At 42.7% G+C, this 14,213-nt stretch overlaps 1 protein-coding gene across 8 annotated transcripts in view; it reads left to right on the top strand.

Moving 5' to 3' along the window:
* POFUT3 (protein O-fucosyltransferase 3) overlaps positions 1 to 14,213 on the top strand; it is a 165,086-nt gene that overhangs the window by 80,048 nt on the left and 70,825 nt on the right. For all 8 annotated transcript variants that reach the window (XM_011544677.4, XM_011544676.4, XM_047422325.1 and 5 more), the window contains one exon: positions 3,301 to 4,136. In XM_011544677.4, the coding sequence (XP_011542979.1) occupies positions 3,301 to 4,136 (836 nt within the window). The remainder of the gene's footprint in view (positions 1 to 3,300; positions 4,137 to 14,213) is intronic.

Below are 14,213 nucleotides of genomic sequence, written 5' to 3'. Positions count from 1 at the left end.
ATCCAATACCTTTTAGAAATTGTTCAATATTGACACTTATGTTCTAGGCCATGATATCCCCAGTGAAGTAGTTTAGGTTGGTCATGGTTCTTTTTTTGTTTTGTTTTGTTTTGTTTTTGAGACAGAGTCTCACTCTGTCGCCCAGGAGGGAATGCAGTGGTGCAATCTTGGGTCACTGAAACCTCTGCCTCCCAGGTTCAAGCGATTCTCCTTCTCAGCATTGAGTAGCTGGGATTATAGGCATGCACCACCATGCCCAGCTAATTTTTGAATTTTTAGTAGAAACGGGGTTTCACCATGTTGGCCAGGCTGGTCTTGAACTCCTGACCTCAGGTGATCCACCCACCTCAGCCCCACAACGTGCTGGGATTACAGGTGTGAGCCACCATGCCTGGCCAGGTTGGTCATGGTTCTAATTTCAGTATTCTTCAGCACTTACCGTCTGAAGCTCTAGGCTTAGGAGAGATGCTTGCAGGGCAAAATGACGTGTTTTTATTTATTTTATTTATTTTTACTTTTTGAGACAGAGTCTCGCTCTGTCACCCAGGCTGAAGTATCGTGATGTGATCTTGGCTCACTGCAACCTCTGCGTCCCCAGTTCATGCAATTCTTCTGCCTCAGCCTCCCGAGTAGCTGGGATTACTACTACCATGTGCCACCATGCCTGGCTAATTTTTGTATTTTTAGTAGAGATGGGGTTTCACCATGTTGGCCAGGCTGGTCTCGAACTCCTGACCTCAAGTAATCTGCCTGCCTCGGCCTCCCAAAGTGCTGGGATTATAGGTGTGAGCCATTGTGCCATGCCAAAATGACCTATTTTCAATCTTCTCCAGAGAAGTTTAGTTTGAAAGCATCTGACAATCTTACAGAAAACCTATATTAGCGTGATTGCACACATGCGCACGCATGTGTGGTTGTGTTTTGTGTGGATGTATCTCAGGGAAGTTACCAGGAAATGCTTTTATAGATAGCAAACATGGGAAATATTTCTGGAAGGCTAGGTCCCTTTAACTTTCCTCTCTATTAATAAGCATCTCCCACTATTAAAGGCAGCTGCACCCCTGCAGACTAAACATAATTCAGATGAATGCAGGAGAGCATTCATCTGAATGCACCTGAGGCAGGCTTTGTGTCTTTCTGCTTCCCAGCTCTGCATCTGGTATCTTTGCTGAGGTGCACCCATGCTGAGCTAGGTTAAGAATCTTCCATGTGCCACCTAGCAGGTAGCAGCAGACAGTGACTGGTGTTTGGGTCACTCACTCAAATCCCCTGTGCCTGATCCCCCCAGTTAATTCTGGACCCACTTTTGTTTTAATCATATCCTCTTTAATCTCTCATCTCACACCTTGAATCCCTGCTTCTGATTCCTGTGGACTGGACTCTAGTACTTTCTCTCCCAGGCAAATGGCCTTGATTCTCTGTATGCCTTAGGTGGCAACTTTGTGTTCTAACTCAATTATATAGGTTCTGGTTCCTATCATTGGCCTCTCAGCCAGCTTAGACCCTTTTTGAGCAGCAGCTGTTGTACTTCAATGCAGTCATTTGCCTTTCTTCTCACATTCTCTTTCATATCCTCATGTTTCTCTATCTTAATGATTATTAACCTTTGCCAGCCATCCAACTTTATATGCCATTAGATTTCAGGTATATGGGTGAGTGTTCTTTTTTAAGCCTAAGGTCAAATATAGCAAATGCCAATAAACAAGGACAAGCCCATTTTTACGTTAGTACGTCATTGCCAAAGATTGAGAATAAAAGCCTGCTATCAAAACAGAGGCACTTTCTTCAGCAATTTCTCTGTGCTTAGTATATGTCCTGTGACATAACCTTATCTGATCTTTGTTTAAAAGCCTTTCTTGATTAATTGATTTCTCATTGATGTAGTGTTGGCACTGAAGAGTTTATCTTTATTTGTGGGAGTGTACACTGGCATTAAATAATTAATTTTTATGAGCTCTGCCAGAAAATGTTGATAAAGTTTTATTTTGGCATAAATATATATTCGGTATTTTCTTTTCCAGTGGGTATTGGAAGATGAATTTTTTCCCGTTTCCTTATATTTATTTTAAAAAAACTCAAGGGTCTACAAAATTATCCATGTCAAGAATACTTCAGAAATTGTATATTACCTATTGTGTTATTGTCTTAGTTCTTCTTTCTCAGTTATTGAAATAAGTTCTCCCTGATTGGATCTCCACCCATGCAGCCAGGAAACAATCGCTTACCACATCCATCACTTCTGTCTGCACATCATCATGTTTCAGAGGTTTTTCAATTAATCCCGTGGATGCTAGGGTCACTCATAATTGTAATCCTGTTAGGCCTTCTTTATTTCTCCATGAGCTTGTTAATTCCTGTCCATCCTGCAGTGGTCTGTAACATAGTGCTATTATCAGCTCTTTCGTCTTTAAAAGCCTCTTGTCTACCATTTTGACTAAGATTGATTAACTGCACTTTGCTGAAATCAATCATTTTGGATTAAAAAAATCTATCTTCTACATTTCTTCTGGCTACTTTTGCATGGTTTCACTTTTTTTTTTTTTTTTTTTTGCAGTTAATCAACCTGCTGACCTGGTTGCTTTCCTTTTTTGGCTTCCTTTCTCTTGCTCTTTTCTTTTTAAAGAACTGTCTTTATCTCTTTATTTCTCCTATTTACTTGTAGGTAACACTTTTCAGGAAGAAAAGCCCATTGCAAGAGGCAGTGGAATAAATTCTCCTTTAGAACCTGGCCAGACACGACTCCTGTTTCCTTTTTCGTAAAATGAGAAATGATAGTCCCCCTCTTTGGTGATCCTCTCCCTCAGTAGTTTCTGGGGTGAAAGCTTTGTGACTGACTGCCAGGCACTTTGCAGTGACACTGTAACATGCTTCATGTGTGTGTGTGTGTGTGTGTATGACACACACACACACATATATTTTGAGACAGAGTCTTGCTCTGTCACCCAGGCTGGAGTGCAGTGGCTCAATCTTCACCTCCCGGGTTCAAGTGATTCTCCTGCCTCAGCTTCCCAGGTAGCTGGGATTACAGGCAATGTGCCACCATGCCCAGCTAATTTTTGTATTTTTAGCAGAGACAGGGTTTCACCATGTTGGCCAGGCTGGTCTCGAACTCCTGACCTCAAGTGATCCACCTGCCTTGGCCTCCCAAAGTGCTGGGATTACAGGCGTGAGCCACCGTGCCCGGCCACATGCTTCTTATTCATAGCCTCAGACTCCTCTGTATTCTAATCTTACCAGGTAGACCCAAACTTAGCAACATCTTTTGGAAATACTAATTAATATCTCATTTTCTTCTCCTAGGTACTGACTTTAACATAGATAGCTTACCTCTGCCTCGGAAAGCCCATCATGACTGGGCTGTTTTTCATGAAGAGTCCCCGAAAAACAATTATAAGCTCTTTCATAAACCAGTGATCACCTTGTTCAACTACACTGCCACGTTCAGCAGGCATTCCCACTTGCCACTAACTACCCAATACTTGGAGAGCATTGAAGTCCTGAAGTCACTCCGATACCTAGTTCCTTTGCAGTCCAAAAACAAGCTTAGAAAAAGACTTGCTCCGCTGGTGTATGTACAGTCAGACTGTGACCCACCATCAGACAGGGACAGCTATGTTCGCGAGCTGATGACTTACATCGAGGTCGATTCCTATGGTGAATGTTTACGAAACAAAGACCTCCCTCAGCAGCTGAAAAATCCAGCCTCTATGGATGCCGATGGCTTTTATAGGATCATTGCACAGTATAAGTTTATCCTAGCTTTTGAGAATGCAGTTTGTGATGACTACATCACTGAGAAGTTCTGGAGGCCACTGAAACTGGGGGTAGTCCCTGTATATTACGGATCCCCCAGCATCACAGACTGGCTTCCAAGTAACAAAAGTGCTATTCTTGTATCAGAATTTTCTCACCCCAGGGAACTGGCAAGTTACATCAGACGACTGGATTCTGATGACAGATTGTATGAGGCCTATGTAGAATGGAAGCTGAAGGGTGAGATCTCTAACCAGCGACTTCTGACAGCTCTCAGGGAACGGAAATGGGGAGTGCAAGACGTCAACCAGGACAATTACATCGATGCATTTGAGTGTATGGTGTGCACCAAGGTGTGGGCTAATATCAGGCTTCAGGAAAAGGTAAGCAAATCAAAGGTGGGCATAGAGCCAGCAGGCTGGCCATCTTGATGTTCTCTGCTCTCCTGCATTTCCTTCTGTTGTTGCCACCTCATCAGTGTTCTTCATTCCTATCAGAAAGACCGGGCTTTGCAGGAAGGTTGAATATTCCATTACTACCTTTTGGGACTGTCGTAAAGTTTACAAGCCCTGGACAGGCCTTCATTCCTGAAAGCCTTCATTCTCCTTTATTGTTTCTTCTGGGGGATCCCGTGCTGCAGGTGCTGGGCAGTGACACAGAAAACTGCAGAAAAGGGGAAGAGTCCCTAACATAAAAAATTAAGAGTTCTTGCCACACATGATGGCTCACGCCTGTAATTGGAGCACTTTGGGAGGTTGAGGTGGGTGGATCACTTGAGCCCAGGGGTTCGAGACCAGCCTGGGCAACATGGCAAAACCCCATCTCTACTAAAAATATAAAAATTAGCCCGGCATGGTGACATGCACTTGTAATCCCAGCTACTCGAGAGGCTGAAGTGGGAGAATTGCTGGAATCCAGGATGCAGAGGTTGCAGTGAGCCGAGATCATGCCACAATACTACAGCCTGGGCGACAGAGCGAGACTCTGTCTCAAAAAAAAAAAAAAAAAAAAAAAAAGAGTTCTGCTTATCCACATGGTCAATCCTTTAGCCTCTCCATCAATGCCGTGGCGAAGGAGTATGATAATTTCTGCCAGACCTCTCACACTGACACTCCACAGCCTCCACTTTCAAACTCATTTTCATTTTGCTTGCTGCTCTAATATTTACTCTTTCTCTTTCTGGCAAACATGTGCTTATTAATATAGAGAGAAACTACTGAAATAATGGTGGGGATAATCCTTATAAAAACTTTCTTAAATTGTTATGAACTTCTTAGTAATGTCTTCAAATTTCTAGATGGTGCTTGGTGTTTGTTTGCTTACTTTATTTGTTTATAATGGGAATGAACCTACTTTATGTGTAACTTAATTTGTTCAAAGGAAATTTGTTGAAAGAAAAAGATTACTTTCAACTTCTCCTGAAATTTTTACACAATGAGGTGGCCCACTCATAGCACTTGCCTATCACCCATCATTGCTGTGCCAGACTCTCATAGATGTGTAAGGTTTTATCTAAATATTTTCTTGTTCTTCTTTTTTTTTGAGACCGAGTCTCACTCTGTTGCCCAGGCTGGAGTGCAGTGGCACCATCTCAGCTCACTGCAACCTCCACCTCCCAGGTTCAAGCAATTCTTGTGCCTCAGCATCCTGAGTAGCTGGGACTACAGGCATAAGTCACCACACCTGACTAATTTTTGTATTTTTAGTAGAGACGGGGTTTCACCATGTTGGCCAGGCTGGTCTCGAACTCCTGACCTCAGGTGATCTGCCTGTCTCAGCCTCCCAAAGTGCTGGGATTACAGGTGTGAGCCACCACATCTGGCCTTATCTAAATTTTCCGAAGGCCAACAACTTTTCTTAAATATTTACATGTTTACTTTGGTTATTATATGAATTTTAGGTCAAACATAAACCTAAACAGTGTGTGAAATTATCTTTAGGTATTGTATGTATACCATATGGGGCTCTCAGATACTATGTATATGGTAGACAAATTTAAAATATTTGAAATGTATTTTTTAAGATTTTAAGAATTATTAAAATTTAAATTCTTCTTTCTTGTTTTGTATAACTGTTCAACTCATAAAATCATTTATTTTATGCTGACTGTCTTGGTCCACAACATGAACACTAAATATTACATCATTCTTCTCAGAGAATGCTTCCTGATTTCTGATGGCTTCCTGTATGATCTAATTTATAGGGCCATAAGCAAAAAATTAAATACACACACACACACACAAACACACACACACCCACCCATGTGAAAACATGAGAGAGTAGAGACCACATTAATTGCCCATGCTATACCAATTATTTATTCTCAAAATATATCAAGGTAGAAAACAGAATTTCTGAGGGTGATGATTTGCTTGGGCTAGGTTTCAAGACCATTTCAAGGCTTCAAGATTATATTCACAGAAAACTGAAATATAAAAACCCTAACTGCTTCTGTACCTCACAAAAACCCTATTGAGATAATTATTGCGAACTGGAAGAGAGGGTATGCTGGCGTTGGTAAATAGCTTTCTTTTTTGAGACGGAATCTCCCTCTGTCTCTCTGGCTGGAGTGCGGTGGCGTGATCTCGGCTCACTGCAAGCTCCACCTCCCGGGTTCACGCCATTCTCCTGCTTCAGCCTCCCGAGTAGCTGGGACTACAGGCACCCGCCACCACGCCTGGCTAATTTTTTGTATTTTTAGTAGAGACGGGGTTTCATCGTGTTAGCCAGGATGGTTTTGATCTCCCAACCTCGTGATCCTCCCGCCTCAGCCTCACAAAGTGCTGAGATTACAGGCATGAGCCACAGCGCCCAGCGGGTAAATAGCTTTAGAAAAGATGTAGGAGATCATTCCTGCAGTTCTAACAGAAACAGCTAACTGAATGTGGCATTTCAGAATGCCCAAAGGTAGTATGATTGGATGTCCTTCTCTCTGGACTCATTGAGGAAAATGAGAGTAGGCTTTTCTCCAGCCTGCTCTGATTCCTCCCAGAGAGGTGGTCAGCGAAGATGATTAGGAGGCTTTGCTTGCATTTTAATGAAGTAGTTCCAATTCCAAAATGCTAATGTGCTTATTATTGAAAAGCAGAATAAAACATTCTATGAAAGTAAATGAAAAGGTATTAGACCACTTTTTTTTTTTTTTTTTTTTTTTTTTGAGATGGAGCCTTGCTGTGTTGTCCAGGCTGGAGTGTAGTGGCGTGATCTCGGCTCACTGCAACCTCTGCCTCCTAGGCTCAAGCGATTCTCGTGCCTCAGCCTCCCGAGCAGCTGGGATTACAAGCGCATGCCACCACACCCGGCTAATTTTTGTATTTTTAGTAGAGACAGAGTTTCCGCCATGTTGACCAGGCTGATCTCGAACTCCTGACCTCAGGTGATCCACCGGCCTCGGCCTCCCAAAGCTCTGGGATTACAGGCATCAGCCACTGCGCCCAGCCACCAGTTTTCATTTGCACTTATTTTACAGGATTCGTTCTATATGGCACAACGTAAAGTAAGCTACTTAAGTATGTTTCATTTTTTATTTTCCTCTTTCAGCCAAAGTGATTCTCCTGCCTCAGCCTCCTAAGAAGCTGGGATTACAGGCACCTGCCACCATGCCCAGCTAATTTTTTTGTATTTTTAGTACAGATGGGGTTTCACCATGTTGGCCAGGCTGATCTCGAACTCCTGACCTCAAGTAATCCACCTGCCTTGGCCTCCCAAAGTGCCAGGATTACAGGTGTGAGCCACTGCGCCCTGCCTTCCTTCACTCTTGGCCAGTGATTTGACTATTCTTGGCTGCTTGCCTGATAGGGTGACCCAGACCCTCTTCCCTTAGGAGCCTGTGGTTGCCTTGCCCCTCTGAGACTGTGTTCATGGCAGTTACACTTTCCCCCATTCATCATGGCCCCGTCCTCGACAGACCCTGTTTGCTTCTACCGTGTAGTGGGAATGTCATCTCCTCATGAGTCCATTACCACGACCAGTACAATAATTTCTTCATTTTCCTGCTTGCACAATGAATTCAAAGTGACTGGGTAGCAGTTACAGTTCTGTAGATTCAAGTTCAGTGGGAACCTTCCTGTGCCCCTAATGGAAAAGAATGCCCCTTCCCCCACCACCCGGGAACCAGGAACCTGGAAAGCCTAGGGTTGCAGGGATGAGAACCACAAAATAAGCAAGCGGGTCACTGGGAATGAGGGTGAGATTAGTCAGTTCTACTTCAATGGGTTGGTTCCTGTATCTAGTCTAGGTATTTGGAGCACAGTCCCATGTATGGACTACTGGTTTCTTAAACCCAGAGAGTATTGTCCTTGAGCTGAGCTATTTATAGGCTATTCCATCGTTCTTTGAGGCTGGCTTCTTCTGAGTGATGGAGTACCTGGTAAAACCAGTGACTGCTGTGCCCACTGTCACATTGTTGTCACAGTGTCATGTGTCCATTTTGGTACCTCTCTCACCATGCAATGGGTCCCTGAGTCTGAGTTAGTGTTGTACAAAATACCATGTTGCTGAAGAAGGTATTCTTTTTTGTTTTTTTTAGACAGATTCTCACTTTGTCACCCAGGCTGGAGTGTGGTGGCACGAACTTGGCTTACTGCAACCTCTGCCTCCCGGGTTCAAATGATTCTCCTACCTTAGCCTCCTGAGTAGTTAGGATTACAGGCGCTCACCACCATGCCTGGCTAATTTTTTATATTTTTAGTAGAGACGGGGTTTCACCATGTTGGTCAGGCTGGTCTTGAACACCTGACCTCAGGTGGTCCACCCACCTCGGCCTCCCATAGTGCTGGGATTACAGATGTGAGCCACCACGCCCGGCCTGAAGAAGGCATTCTGTAACCCCTGAGTGATAGAGTAGGCAGAGGTATGGGGGACAAGGAAGTTCCCCATGAGTATATCTAAGGTAGGTGTCAATTTCAGCAAGGACTAATTGCTATTCCTTCTCGAGTAAAAGGATTTTAGCCTGTCACTGGGAGACTAGAGACTAGATATTCTCCTCAAGGAATTGTGCCTTATCAGAAGCTTTAGCATTGATCATTGTTGCTGGTAGATCAGGTCTTCAACAGTGGCAGTGATGAATTCTGCCTGTGAGTGAGAACCAAAGCTCTTCTGTTCATGCATAGCCTCCATCATTCCTACAATGTCCTGTTCATGGGTCAGTGGAACCAGTATTGGGGTAACAAAGGGACAGGCTGGCTGAAATCCAATAACTCATAATACCTACCTGCTTGTTGTGAGCTTTCTCTCAGTGGCTGCTTATTGGTGTGCATCAATATCAGATACTGATTGGAGCCATGTTGATCCTGTGTAGATACCAGTTTCAGCAAGGCAGCTGCAGTTGGAACTACTGTCAGGTTAAGTTCCTGGTAGTCCCCTACCATCTACCATGATTTATCTGTTTTTTTTTTTTTCAGGGGTCAGAACGGTGAATTAAATGGTGGTGGTGGGGATTATGATGGGGAAAACTCCTTGGTCTTATGGGGCATTGATCTCTACAGTTTTTCCAAGATGATGGTGTTGCTTCAGACTTACTATCCTGTCTGAGGGGGCAGTTGTTTTTTGAGACAGTCTCACTCTGTCACCCAGGCTGGAGTGCAGTGGTGCAATTTCGGCTCACTGCAACCTCTGCCTCTTGGATTCAAGCAATTCGCCTGCCTCAGCCTCCTGAGTAGCTGGGATTACAGGTGTGCACCACCACGCCCAGCTAATTTTTGTATATTTAGTAGAGACGGGGTTTCAACATGTTGGCCAGGCTGGTCTTGAACTCCTGACTTCAAGTGATCCTCCAACCTCAGCCTCCCAAAGTGCTGAGATTACAGGTATGAGCCACCGTGCCTGGCCACTTACCCAGTTCTTGACAGTACACCCTAGCCTTTGCTGCTTCTCTTGGTATATAAGCTATTTCTTCTCAGAGTAGGGCCTCTGTTTCTCACTTAGGTGTTGAGTGCTGGTGATAAAGCAGGTGATATTAATTTTAATGGGGATTTACCACCAGCAATGGGGCTTTTATTGCCATCAGGTGAATAATGCTCTTTAGCGCCACTCCTGGTACCAACGATCTTAACCTGGCTTCCACAGAAAACAGAAATGGAAACAGAGGCATCTGTGCTGTGATTCTGTTAGGGAGTGCAGTCCTAGAGGGTTGGAGGGAGGAGTAGGGGAGTGAACCAGGGAAGGAAGGAGGGCAATGCGATGATGTTACTGAGCTGAGTGTTAAGTGGGAGTGATTGGTTCATCCTCAGGACCCTGCCCCTGAGAAGCACATACTGCACTCGGAATCATTCCTTCCAGGTAAGGAAGGGGAGAAAATTGATCCATGGGCCCTGCTTTCTCCGTAGTCCAAAATTTGTCCCACTGGTCCTAACTTGCTCTACCTTTTGGGTTGCACGTGTGTGATATGGGTGCTGAGAAGAGTTCCACAGTGACTCCAACAGTTAAATTCTAGAGCAGGAAGTCACATGGAAGGAGGTGAGGTGTACTGTTGGTCAGAGCCCTGTGCAGGTGGGGCAAGGGATAGATGAAGTTGAGAAGTTCAGGAATCTGCTAGAGGGCGGTACTCTTACCCTCGTTCATGCCTGCTCTCCCCTAGTCTAATGATCTACTGTTAAGTTTCTTTGGACAATACTCAGCTGCTGCTGGGGTAGGAGAACGTCAGTTTCTTGCTTGTGCACAGTGATGATTTGGGTCTTCAGTTGCCTCCTACAAAACTGGCAACCACTTCCCTTTCAGCCCCTTCTTTACACCCACTGCCAGAGTTCTGTGCGCCACCAAATTCTGCAGCATCTTGTGCAAGCTGCAGTGAACGTTGAGTTGCTTTTCTGCTTTCCCGCTGCTTCTTAGAACTCAGCTTTCTCACATCAACTAAGTCATTTGCCACCCATCTGTTAACTTTGCAACTTCCGAAATTTTTTGTTTTCCTTATCATTTTGTTTTTCTTCAGGAATCTATGCCATAAAAAAAAAAACCACCTTGCTGTCATTTTATGGGATTTCAGGAGGGAATGAAATTAAAAGTGTGTGTCTAGTCAACCATTTTTATTTGGAAATCTCCATTTGATTGATTGATTGATTGAGACAGGGTCTCTATCACCCAGGCTGGAGTACAGTGGTGTGATCTCGGCTCACTGCAACCTCCAGCTCCGAGGCTTGAGTGGTCCTCCCACCTCAGACTCCCGAGTAGCTGGGACTGTAGGCGCAGCCACCATGCCTGGCAAATTTTTGTAATTTTTGTACAGATGGAGTTTTGCCATGTTTCCCAGGCTGGTCTCGAAGTCCTTAGCTCAAGCAATGTGCCCATCTCAGCCTCCCAAAGTGCTAGGATTGCGTGTGTTAGCCACTATGCCCAGCCTATTTTCTTTATTAAACAAACTAGTTGAAAAAAATTGTATTGAAGGTGCGCTCTGATTCGGGCATTATTGTGCTAGATAATGGTAAGCAAGAAAAGACATGGTCCCTTGTCATAGGGCTTACAGTTTAGATTAGACATTATTAAAGGAATAAGCTTTGTGCACTGTGAAGGAAAAATTCTCTAAAATGAGAGATCTGGATGCTTTTGGTAAAGCTTCTACAAGAGTCTTCCAAAAGGCCATCTTAATCACTGGCAGCCAGCTGTTAGTACTACCGCCACAGTATCAGAATACAGCTGTTACAGAGATTCCATTAACTACCACGCTAAGATGATGAACTCGTAACAAATGCTGCATTTAAGTGCACTCTCTTCATTTTAACGCTTTCTAGCATAAGACATCCTTTGGTACTAAATCACCACCAGAAGTAATAACCCTAAGTCATCAAATGGGCACTTACCAGGAGAGCATGAACTACCTTACATGTCCTTTCTTTGAACAAACTTTTATCTACTATCTATGAAGGGTAAGATCTTATACTTCCTGTATCATGATGTCAGTTGTTCAAAGACAGATGTACCTTAGGTCAAAATTTTTCTTCCTACAGATTAAATGTGATGTTTTAAATAGTTTGGATTTCTTTTTAAGTTAGAATGATAAAGTATAAAAATGGGGGAAGGCTTCTAGGAAAAAAGGATTTAGTACGAAAGACTAAAAGACAAGATAATTTGGTGATTTCCTATCTGTATTTAAGCTGAACAAAACAGACAATCTGTCTTAAGGTTAATAGAATTTACTTTTTAACTGGAGTTGCCTGAAGTAATTTTCCATTGCTTTATATATTTTATATATACACATATATAAATTTGATTGATTGAGACAGGGTCTTCCTCTGTTGCCCAGGCTGAAGTGCAGTGGTGTGGTCATGGTTCACTATAGCTTCCACTTCCTGGGCTCAAGTGATCCTTCCATCTCAGCCTCCTGAGTAGCTAAGATTACAGGTGCATGTCACCATGCCTGGTTAATTTTTTAAAGTTTTTCTGTAAAGTTGGAGTCTCACTATGTTGTCCATGCTGGTCTCAAACTCCTGGGGTCAAGCCATTCTCCTGCTTTGGCCCTCCAAAGTGCTGGGATTACAGGTGTGAGCCACAGTGCCTGGCATTTTTTTTTTTTTTTGAGACAGGGTCTCATTCTATCACCCAGGCTGGAGTGCAGTGGTGCAATCATAGCTCACTGCAGTCTTGAACTGCTGGACTCAAGCATTCCTCCTGCCTCAGCCTCCTGAGTAGCCGGGACTACAGCATGTGCCACCATACCTAATTTTTTAACTTTTATTTTTGTAGAGACAGGGTCTTGCTATGTTGCCCAGGCTGGTTTTAAACTTCTGACCTCAAGCAATCCTCCCACCTTGGCCTCCCAAAGTGCTGGGATTATAGGCATGAGCCACTGTACCTGGTCACTTTTTGTATTTCAAATTGAAGATGAGAAGGAACAATTCCAAGTGGGAGATTATTAGTTGTCTCATGTTTTCTACATATAAACCATCCATTTTCTTATCATTTATCTTCTTTTACCTTCTTGAAGTGGTGGTCTTAGAATCATACAATGTCAGAATTGAAAGTAGCTTAGGAATCACCTAATTCAGCATCTCTTTAGCTGCAGAAACCTAGTATTTCCATTTGACTCCTGTTTTATATTACATCTCCCTGCTGAAATTACCCTTATGTTCATGCATATTGTCTCCCTTTTCTACTATATATATATAGTATATATATATATATAGTATATATATATATAGTATATATATATAGTATATATATATAGTATATATATATAGTATATATATATAGTATATATATATAGTGTATATATATAGTATATATATATAGTGTATATATATAGTATATATATAGTGTATATATATAGTATATATAGTGTATATATATAGTGTATATATATAGTGTATATATATCGTATATATATAGTATATATATATACTATATATATAGTATATATATATACTATATATATAGAGTGTATATATAGTGTATATATAGTATATATAGGGTATATATAGTGTATATATAGTGTATATATATAGCATATATATAGTGTATATGTATGTTATATATATAGTATATATATATTATATATATATATATATATTTTTTTTTTTTTAGACAGAGTCTTGCTCTGTTGCCCAGGCTGGAGTGCAGTGGTATGATCTCAGCCCACTGCAACCTCTGCCTTTTGGAGTCCAGCAATTATCCTGCCTCAGCATCCTGACTAGCTGGGACTACAGGTTCATGCCACCACACCTGGCAAATTTTTGTATTTTTAGTAGAGACAGGGTTTCGCCATGTTGGCCAGGCTGGCCTAGAACTCCTGACCTCGTGATCCACCTGCCTCAGCCTCCCAAAGTGCTGAGATTACAGGCGTGAGCCACTGCGCCCAGCCTTTTACTATATTCTTTAACATACTAATGGTAGTTTAAAGTTCCTGCCTGATAGTTCCAACATCTGAGTCATTTGTGAGTCTGGTTCTGTTGATGGCTTTAGCTCTTGATAGTGTTTGTTTTTTTGTTTTTTCTCTTTTTATGTGTTTCATGATTTTTTTTTTTTTGATTCCTGGACATTATGTACAAAAGCATAGAGACCAAGATCAATGTTTATGTATGGCAATGGACATGCCTCTTTTCTGTCAAGGCTGTTAATGTGCGTGGGTTGGGGAGGAGGGATGTGTATTACTCCATTTTCCCACTGCTTATAAAGAACCAACCAAGACTGGGTATTTATAAGGAGAGAGGTTTAATTGACTCACAGTTCTGCATGGCGAGGGAGGTCTTGGGAAACTTACAATCATGGCGAAAAGCAAAGTGGGGAAACAAACACATCTTACCACGACAAAGCAGGAGGGGAGGGAGGGAGAGAGGGAGAGAGAGAGGAAATGCCACACATTTAAACCATCAGATCTCGTGAGAACTCACTATCATGACAACAGCATGGGGGAGATCACCCCCATGATCCAATCACTTCCCACCAGTTCCCTCCCTTGACACACGGGGATTACAATTCAAGATGACATTTGGGTGGGGACACAAAGCCAAACCATATTAGGGAGGTAGAGT

This window comes from Homo sapiens, chromosome 8 (genome assembly GCF_000001405.40).
Source record: "Homo sapiens chromosome 8, GRCh38.p14 Primary Assembly".
Classification (NCBI taxonomy): Eukaryota; Metazoa; Chordata; class Mammalia; order Primates; family Hominidae; genus Homo; species Homo sapiens.
Note: the sequence above shows the minus strand (reverse complement) of the source record. Positions and strands in the feature narration are given on the sequence as shown.